The sequence below is a fragment of the Homo sapiens genome, chromosome 5 (assembly GCF_000001405.40).
Source record: "Homo sapiens chromosome 5, GRCh38.p14 Primary Assembly".
Taxonomy (NCBI): domain Eukaryota; kingdom Metazoa; phylum Chordata; class Mammalia; order Primates; family Hominidae; genus Homo; species Homo sapiens.
This window is the reverse complement of record NC_000005.10, coordinates 123,224,993-123,235,521: the sequence shown is the minus strand read 5'-3', so window position 1 is coordinate 123,235,521 and position 10,529 is coordinate 123,224,993.

Below are 10,529 nucleotides of genomic sequence, written 5' to 3'. Positions count from 1 at the left end.
ATGTCTTCTAAGAAAAAATCCAGAAACCTGAAGCCTAGATCACTTGCAAATGTTGAATCTGAATTTATATCACCATGTGTTGTGGGAGTCTCATTCTGAAAATTTAAACACTGGTCTTGGGCCTATGAACTTCTAAGGGTACCCAACAGAAGCAAACTGTATGGGAGAATACTCCCATAATCTAGGATGTACTGAACTGCTTTAAAAAAAAAAATCCCTACTAATAATGAGTACCTTCTAAGAAAACCATAAAGCAATAAGGAAAAAATCCACAATAACTGAGAGTCATCAGACTTAACTAATAGGATAATCGGAGTTCAATAATGTTAAAAGAACTATAAAATAAGCCCTCTTTAACATTGTTAAAAAACAAAGAAAAAAGTAGAAACCATAATGAAGTAATAGAATACAATGAAATTAACTAAAACATTTTGAACAGAACCAAATAAAACTTCTACGAATAAAAATGTAGGCACTGAATTAAAAACTCAATGACTGCATTAAAAGCAAACCAGCCACTCCTAAAGAGAGAATTAATTAGGAGATGGATTTGGGGAAATTATCTGGATAATGGCAGAGAGAGATTCAGAAAATAAAGATGGAACACACAAGAGTTTAAGCAGCACACAGAATAGAAAGCAAAAGTCCAGCATGCAGACAAATTCTAGAAATAGAGAATAGGAAGAATGGTGGTGTGGAACTAAATTATCATAATCCCTGAATAATTTTAATGGACATTTGTTACAATTGTCGTTGAAAAGTAGAGGACATGTGTTTCATGAACAGTTAATGAAAATCATAGAATGAGAAGACAGCTCCAGTAGAGCTTTCAAGGATACAGAATACTAGGTTAGCCATTCATCTTTTAGTTTACTAACAAGAGTGAAAAACTTTTCTGTAATACACAATAGTTTCTTCTTTTCATGTTTCCAAGGACTGCTGACTTATGAACTTGAAACCATGAATATTTGTTTTAGGGAACTGCATGTGGTACATTGTTATTGCAGAGAATCATATTTGTTTACTTCAAATTGTGACTACAGCTTGTGATTTTGATATTTCCCATTTTCTTATTAAGAAAACAACACATTTTCCAACTAAAATAAAAAAGATTCAGTTATTTTAAAGACATTTTTTAGTTATAGGAAAAATATCTTATTCTTCCACAACTGACATGAGTGAAAAGCTGGAGAATATTCTACAATTGAGGAAAGACATGAATCCTTATGTTAGGAAGCAAATGAGTCCAGCAGCAGAAATAAGAATTAATGCACACCTAGATGTACCATAGGATATAGTAAAACACCCAGGATACAAAGAAAGCCTTCAAAATGACCAGGATGAAAAATCCAATTACCTACCAACGAGCAACAATTACAGTGGCATAAAACTTATTATTCATTTATTCATGCATTCTACATGGTCCCCCAATATTTCTCAAACCCCTACTTTATGCCAGACCCTATTCTAGGTAGCTCGGGTAAATCCGTAAACGGGAAAGGGGAAGGGGAAAGAGAAAGGGGGAAAGGAGAGAAAGGGAGTAAAGGAAGGAAGAAAAATAGAAAAGAAAGAAAGAAAAATAAAGAGAAAGAAGGAAGGAAAGAGGGAGGGAGGGAAGAAGGAAGGAAAAACAAGGGGAAAAAAGGAAAAGGTCAGAAGTTGAGAGAATAATATCTTTAAATTGAAATAACCTTGTGATAATTAACTTACTAATTGTAGCCTCTGTGATCTGGTTACATTGAACTCAATCTGCCTAGTTTCCTTTTTACTAATATACAGTCCTTACTGGTTGTAATAATTTTCTAGTGCTGCTGTAACAAATTATCACACAATATGGCTTAATACAACACAAATTATTACCTTACCTTTCTGGAAGTCAGAAGTCCAAAACCGGTCTCACTCAGCTAAAATCAAGGAGTCATTTTTGTAGGCTGTCTCCTACAGAGATTCTAGAGGTAAATCTGTTTTCTTGCCTTTTCTGGCATTTAAAGGCTTCCTGTATTCCTTGGCTCAGGGCCCCTTCCTCCATCTTCAAAGCCAGCAGTATAGAATCTTTCCATTTCTCTCTCTCTCTCTCTCTGCCCCCCTTTCTCTCTCCATCTGTACTTCTCTTCCTCCCTTTTCTCTCCCTCACATGCACATAACTCTCCTTCCCCGATCACATCTACTCCCCTACTTCTGACTTCCCTGCCTTCCTCTTATAAGGACCCTTGTGATTACATTCAGCACACCTGGATAATACAGGATACCCTCCCCCTCTCAATATCCTTAATTTGATAGATCTGCAAAGATCCTTTGCTATATAATGTGATATTCACAGGTTCCAGGGATTAGGATGTGGATGTAGACATCTTTTGGTGGGCGGGAGGGGCACTATTTTGTCTTCTAGAGTAGTTGTTTCACTGTCACTTTTGAATAATAGTCGTTCTAAAACTCTGTATCCAGCTAAAGTAAACCATTCAAAGAGTGAAGGTAAACCAATATTTCGGACAAAGACAGTTTGACAGTTACAGACCATTGCTGAAAGAATCACTAAGGGCTTTTCTGCAGTAAGAAGAAAATTGAATGCAGAAGGAAGGATTGAGAAGGAAGATGCAAAAATAAAATAAAATAAATATATGCATTATATTAAAACAAACTGGTGTAAAAATACTGGAAGGCAATAATATGGAAGATGAGGAGGAGGCACGGTAGTGATAGGAGTCACAGCACCCTGCGTTTCTTATGCGGCGTGGAGGGAAGGGAGCAAGGTTGATTAACTGCAGAGGTCAATGTTAACATCTGAATAACCTCCAAAAGAAAAAATAGCACTTAAAGAACACAGCAACCCTCAGACTCAAAACATAGCACATGCACCTAACAACATAGCCTCAAAATATAGAAAGCAAAAATAGAATTGCAAGAAGAAATTAATAAATGTACACTTCTAGTAGGAAGTGTGCATGTATCATACTTCTAGTAGGAAGTTTTTTTAACATACCTCTCTTAGAATCTGATAGACAAAGAAGGCAAAAAAAATTAGTAAGGCCATAGGATAGATGAGTAATCCAATTAACAGGCTTAATCTAATGAACATGTATACAGCTCTTTACCCACCAATGCGGTCTGAATTTCTTTGCAAGTACACAAGAATATTTACAAACATTGACTACACAGTGAGCCAAAAGCAAGTGTTAAAAATACAAAATAATCAATATCATTGCTGTCCAATGGACATATAATGTGAGTCATATATATAATTTTAGAGTTTCTAGTATCCACCTTAAAAATATTTTAGAAAGCAGGTAAAATTAATTTTATTATAAATTATTGTATTGATTATTTTAATAATATGGTGATTATATTACTGGACATTATTTTAATTAATAATATACTTTATTTTACCAATATATCCAGATATTACTGCTTTTTCATATTAAGTCTTAGAGATACAGGACATCTCAGTTTGGATAGCCCCATGTGACGTGCTCACTAGCCACATGTTGCTAATGACTATTATAATGGACAGAGCAGCACTGTGTCTTACAGACCACACTCTCCCACCTCAGTGTAATACCTAGAAATCAAATGATAGTTTAAACAATAATGAATTCTGATGCTTGGAAATTTCAATAATAAATTTAAACAAATTGTAAATCTAGACATTTGGAAAATTTAAAAACTTCCTTCAAAATAATTCAAGGACAAAGAGGAAATCAAATGAAAATTATGAAATATTTATAACTGAACAACAATAAAAACCTAGAAGACAAAATGTGGGGGACAAAATGTAAATATCTAGAGACAGGTGTATGACTCATATGGGAACTTGGTATATGACTGAGGCAGCATTTAAAGTTAGTAGGGAAAGAATGGGTTATTCATTAAATGGTGCTTTTCACATGGGAAAAACATATATGATTGGAATCTTGTCTCACACCATACACAGAAAATGATTTTTTTTTTTTTTTTTTGGAGACAGAGTCTTGGTCTGTTGCCCAGCCTGGAGTGCAGTGGCTCAATCTTGACTCACTGCAGCTTCTGCCTGCTGGGTTCAAGCGGTTCTCCTGCCTCAGCCTCCCAAGTAGCTGGGATCATAGGTGCGTGCCACCATGCCGGCTAATATTTGTATTTTTAGTAGAGATGGGGTTTTGCCATGTTGGCCAGGCTGGTCTTGAGCTGGCCTCAAGCAATCTGCCTGCCTCAGCCTCCCAAAGTGCTGGGATTACAGGCGTGAGCCACCATGCCCAGCCAGAAAATGAATTTTTTGTTGAATGGAAGAAAGTCTTTCTACTTGGAAAATGTAACAGTCCTATGAACCTGCTTAAATCATGAGTCAAGAATATTAAACGAGGCAAAAGATACTCGCTCTAGCCCCAAACCTTCAATGATTACATTATTCTTTCCCACATTATTGTGTGACATCAGCAGACAGAAAAAATGGCCATAACTTATAGCTCCTCATAGGGACCTAGAATTTGTGGACAGGCAACAGGAGACAAAAGTGCTTAGGCTTGGAATTATCTGGAATTGGGTGTGACCTTGGGCAAGAAATAACCTCATTTGTTTAGTCTTGGTTTTCTCAGCTGTAAAACAGTGATAATGATGACTACCTTTCAAGGCACTCATAGGAATTTAAATAGATTAAATGCATCAAGGGCTTAGAAAATATTAATTCACTTTCCCTAAACTGGAAGGTCCAGAGTGTATTGGGGGCATTTGTCCTAGTGCCCTGCATCCTCCTGCAACACTGCAAGGCCTGAGGGGTTCTGTAGTGATATGGAATATCGCAGGGGTGCTCTGAGGTGGACATGAAGGGCAAGGGCTCTGAAATTAGGCAGACTTGGCTTTGAATCCAAGGTCTGTCTTTCGCCAGCTCTTAGACCTTAGGCAAGTTACTTAACACCTCTCGCCTCAGTATTTACATCTGTAAGCAGAGTTGAAAATAGTTCCTGTGCTGATGGTGGGAATGTAAGTTAGTTCAACCACTGTGGAAGACAGTGTGGTGATTCCTCAAAGACTAGAACCAGAAATAGCATTTGACCCAGCAATCCCACCACTGGGTATATACCCAAAGGAATATGAATCATTTTATTATAAAGATACATACACACATGTTTATTGCAGCATTATTCACAATAGCAAAGACATGGAATCAACCCAAATGCTCATCAGCGATAGACTGGATAAAGAAAATGTGGCACATATACACCATGGAATACGATGCAGCCATAAAAAGGAACAAGATCTTGTCCTTTGCAGGGACATGGATAGATCTGGAAGCCATTATCCTCAGCAAACTAACGCGGGAACAGAAAACCAAACACCACATGTTCTCACTTCTAAGTGAGAGCTGAACAATGAGAACACATGGACACAGGGAGGGGAACAACACACACTGGAGCCTGTTGCGGGGTGTAGGGGGAGGGAGAGCATCAGTAAAAATAGCTAATGCATGTGGAGCTTAACACCTAGGTGATGGGTTGACAGGTGCAGCAAACCACCATGGCACATGTTTACCTATGTAGCAACATGCTGCACATGCACCCCAGAACTTAAAATAAAAAATTTAAAAAATATTTCCTGTGTCTTGGTCAAGATTCTTAGTTGCAGCAACAGACACCAACTCTGGCTATCCTTCAGCAGCAGAAAGAAGCTGTGTTAAGAATACTGAGTAGTCATGGGTTCCCCAGGCTTCACAGCTGGGTACTAGGTCCAAAGTCATGTCTCAGATTGGCCCCATGAAGATGCCATGTTGACTCCAGTGTTCACTGGCTGCTGACACTAGAATCATTTCTGCTATTGGAAACTGGCTGTGTCTCTGTGGGCCAGAGCAGGCTCCAGGCCGTCTCTGCTTTTTGTGTCATTGGCTCTCTGGTCCAGGTCTGACTGATGGAGCCTGTCACTTGTCCAAATCCTAGCTGTAGGGGAGGCTGAGAAAGTAAGTTTCCCACTTTTCTGTGGGAATAAGCCTCCTCCTGCAGAGACTCCCTGCCTCCACTGAGACCTCAGCTTGGGTAGCCCTCCAAGAGAAAGGGAGTTCGGATGCTGGTTGGCCACAGAGAATACCCACTACACCTGTCTCAAGGATTCCTGGGAGGATAAAATGACCTGGTGAATGTGAAGCACATAGCACAGTGTAGGGTTTCAGGGCTCAGCGGGGAGACTTTCAATACAGAGGACAGAAGAGCAGTTTTGGAAGAACATCAGAGCATGTTCTGACCAGGAACTGGGGTGGATTTGTTAAAAAGCTCTCCTAATGTTCCTTTCTGCCAACCTAACCAATGTTTCCAGAGATTCTGACTCCTAAATTCACATGGGAAACATGAAGGACCTTGAACAATGTTGAAGGTTAGGGAAGATGGAAAAAAAAAAACTGTGTGTGACTTGTTTTTGGAGTGGACTCACCTGTGACTGAGCCAACAGAGAGCAGTCTTGCTTCCACTGCTCCCAGATCATCAGCTTTACTGCGTGTGGCTTTTCTGAGCACAAGAAATAAACAAGTAAACCCTCCTTTATTCCTGTGAGTTTTCTTTTTAAAACAGGACTTTGAAGAGTTTTATGGAGATACTTTTAGCAGAAACATAGAAAGTCTTATAATTGCTTTTTAGGTGAAAGAATTGAATTCACAGAAAAAGATACTTCCTTCCAGATGCTTTTCTTCCTACAGAGAAGCTTAATCACACACACATTAGAAAGTGATGCTTTTCTTCCTACCAGGAATCTTCACCACACACTCACTTTCCATTGTCAGTTCTTCAAATGCTTTCCTGCATCAGAATGAAGCAGCAAAATATGAGTACTTTGAAGGCAGTGACCGATTGTGTGGATTTTCATAATTTTTATTAAAGTCATTTCTGCCTAGATCTGTTTGTTCAGCTCTGCCCTCATTTTCTGCAAACTCTGGGTCTAAGATTTATATTAGATCGTAAGCAGCTTTGAGGGAGAATAATCGTGAGTTCTATGTTCTTATTACTTCCCACAAAAGTTGGTGCAGGATCTCACTGCCCAAAAGGAGAGTTCAGCAAATATTATTTACTGTGAGCAGTCTGTGTGCTGCGTCTGGTGGGCCAGGCCCGGCACATGGCTCCCAGGGGCACGCTGAGAGCCCCACACTCCCATGCTGGGAGAGCAATCATCATTAAACAATATTTATTAAATAGCCCCATGCATGTGGCACTGGGCTATTTAAGTAAGGAGAGCAGTCGCAGTCCACACCCTTTGGGAGCTTACAATATCAAACAGGACATTTTTTAGAGCCTGAAGGTACCCCGGTGAGGTACGGCACTGAAAGAGTTCATTCACACCAGAGGGCTGGGCTTTTCTCTCAGCCTGTGGTTCACTCTGTCTGCCTTCCCAGGCTCTAGGCTGTAGGTCAGTTCACTTAAAAGGTCCATTATTGGGAGAATTCACTGAAAATCTCTATGCTAAAATAGCCCTTATACCAGAACCTCCACAAACCTAGCATTTCCTTTCCACAAGATCCATTGAGCCCCACGTGCAGGTTACAGAGGTAAATGTCACATTGTTTCTTCTATCCAGAAGCTGACTGGGGACCCAGTGGGAGTGGGGAATGCTCAGTTACCCTGGATTATGGGAGAGGCCAGTAGGTATAACACAGCCTCGGTAACACATGTCCTACACAGTGCAGAACATGTGAATGAGCACATGAAAAAGAAAACTGCTCATTCTGACTTGTGGGGATCAGAAAAGGCTGCAAGGAGAAGAGAGCACCTGAATTAGCTCTTGAAGGTAAGTGAGACTTCAATGGGCAAAGACCATGGCCAAGCATTCCAAACTTTTGCATGGGTCCTGGAAGAGTTGGGGGAAATGATGAATTTATTTAACTGGCTTTCAAATAGTTCCTCTCACATGGGGCCTGTTTCATCTATTTCCAAAATTCTTGGATCTATAGGTTGGAAGCAGAATTGGGACATATTCCACTTGGGGCTAGGAGCCAACTCCTTTCCCTGCTGCTACTGCTCACTCCCTCTGTCTCATCGAGGAGAATGCTCCACCCAGGAGCACAGAATGAAAGGTAAAGGAATGGCTGTAGCCCAGACTTCAGCTGTGCCAGATGAACAACAACTTTTGGGATCATTCAGAAATATAAAATAATCCAGCCCTCCCCGCCATTCTAGGTCACAGCCAGATGACTGAAAACAAGGCATTCTCATATGCTGTTAAACAGATGTGATCATTTTCTCCACATCCTGGGAGTTAACAAAGAGACCTCTAGGGACGTTTTGTCTGCCAGGTGTTTGGCAGTGGCATTGACAGGAAAAGAAGGCTCGTAATGTTTAGAGGTCAAGCGGACCTCAGTGAGCCCTTTAGTCCAGCCCTTGCCTTTAGTCCTGAGAGCACACAAGCCATGAAGCTGGGATAGTTGTGCCTTACTTACAGAGTGTCTCAAGAAGATGCAGTTTAGAAATTGGGGTGTCTAGCCTGATACTCGATGCTGCTCTCTCTTGAGCCTCCCTATACCCCATGCAACCCCTTTACTTTTCATGTTGATTTGAGGCCACACATTCAAGATGCACCTGCCTGTTCTTCCACTCCACTTTGCCATAGTTATCATGGAAAAGGGGGGTCTTAACCAAGTGTCACCCTCTTGGGACAAGAATCCTCTGCTTTGCCCCAATTCCCATGTAGTTTCATCCTACAACTTCCTCTGTACATGGTGATCTCAAATGACAGCACACAATCATACATAAGTCTTTCTATCAAAAGTAAGCTATTCTTACCTCTCTTTTTTTTTTCTAAAGCCAAAGTCAAATGATGCCTTAGTTCAAAGGACTTCACATCTTCACGTGCAAAACCAGCCAAGTTTTAATGAAAACATTTCATCTACATAAAATGAGACCTGTAACATGTGTAGAGCCAAGTCTGGAAAGGACTCCTTCTTTGTGTGGAAATTCTTGAAATTCTTCCCGACTTTGCTGGAAGCTTGCAGCCTTTCCATGTGTCTCTACATCTTAATCAGTCCAACTCACAACTTTTTTTATTTTTATTTTTTTGACGTTTGATGTTTTATATCATATCAATAACAACGTACTGTACAAAACCTGCCTCCCAGCTCGTGGGGCAGGCAGTGTGGTGGCCAAGGGCAGCGTAGAAAACCAGGGCTCTTGTCCCAAAAGAGGAGAGGAAAGAGGGTTTTGCAGTCAAGGAAAAACAGAATCAAAACCCAACATGATCGAAGAGAAGCCCTGAATCTGCATCAGAGGGAGGGGCCGTGGGCAGTGTCGCAACTTGGCTACTGCGGCGGCACCAGTACGGGGAGCTGTGATTGCTAGGAGGGGTTGGGGCCAGCTCACAAGTTTATTTATTTATTTTTTTGAGAAGGAGGAGTCTCCCTCTGTTACCCAGGCTGGAGTGCAGTGGCACGATCTCTGCTCACTGCAACCTCCATCTCCCGGGTTCAAGAGATTCTCACGCCTCAGCCTCCCAAGTAGCTGGGATTACAGGCAGCCGCCACCTAATTTTTGTATTTTAGTAGATATGGGGTTTCGCCATTTTGGCCAGGCTGGCCTCCAACTTTTTTTTAATGTGGTCACTTACTAAAACCAAGTATGTTCTGCTTCTATAATGTAGTAACAACACATGTTTGCATGCTATTTAGAAAAAATTGGATAGTGTTATTATAAATGGAGTTCCTCTGGAAGCCTGACGACTTGTACACTGTGATGCCATCTTTCCACCTATAAAATGGAAACAATCCTATAGACTTGATGGTATTAAGTGAGCAGTTGTATAGAAATTATTTGAAAATTATCTGGCAAATAACAAGTAGAATTTGGGGTTTTTTGATGTTATTGTTGTGATCTTTAAGTCTTTATTATAATCATGCTGGCTGACCTTGTTTCTTTTATCTGTAAGACAGATAAAAGTCAAGTAAAACAGATAGAAAGTTCTCCATCAGTAAATGTACAATTCAGGTCCAGCACTCCAGATTGAAGCTACCACTAAGATTTCTTTTCTTTTGAAAAATAAATGGTTATTATTTAACCAGGGTAGCATGAATAGAAGAAATAAATATTTTATTATTTTTATATTGTTAATATTTTGCTCTTTAACTTTTGAAATAACAATTTTTGGCAGATGAGTGGTCAAAATCATTAATCTAACAGTCAAGTATCTCCAATAGATGAGTGAAGAAAAGATTAGGTTAAAGACCATTCTCTGTTAAAAAATAAAGATTTTCCCCTTCACTGTAAACATTAAAAATGTACACATTTGTAATATTTACTATACATTATAATGTATAGGAAAGTAGAGGCAAAAATTATGCATAATTCAAACATCCCCAAAGCAACACAGTTTCAATGTTGGCCAATTTGTCTCTGCTCTTTTCTGTATTCATGGTTATTGGTTTATGAATGTTTCTGATCACACTGTATTTAAAACTTTACATTTTAATTTAACATTACAACATGACAACTCTCCAAGCCTTTATTAATTCTTTGTAAACCTTATTTTAAATGGCTGCATAATATTGCATTAAGCAAATGATTTACTTAAAGGCATCAGATTGTTTGGTCTTTTAAAGT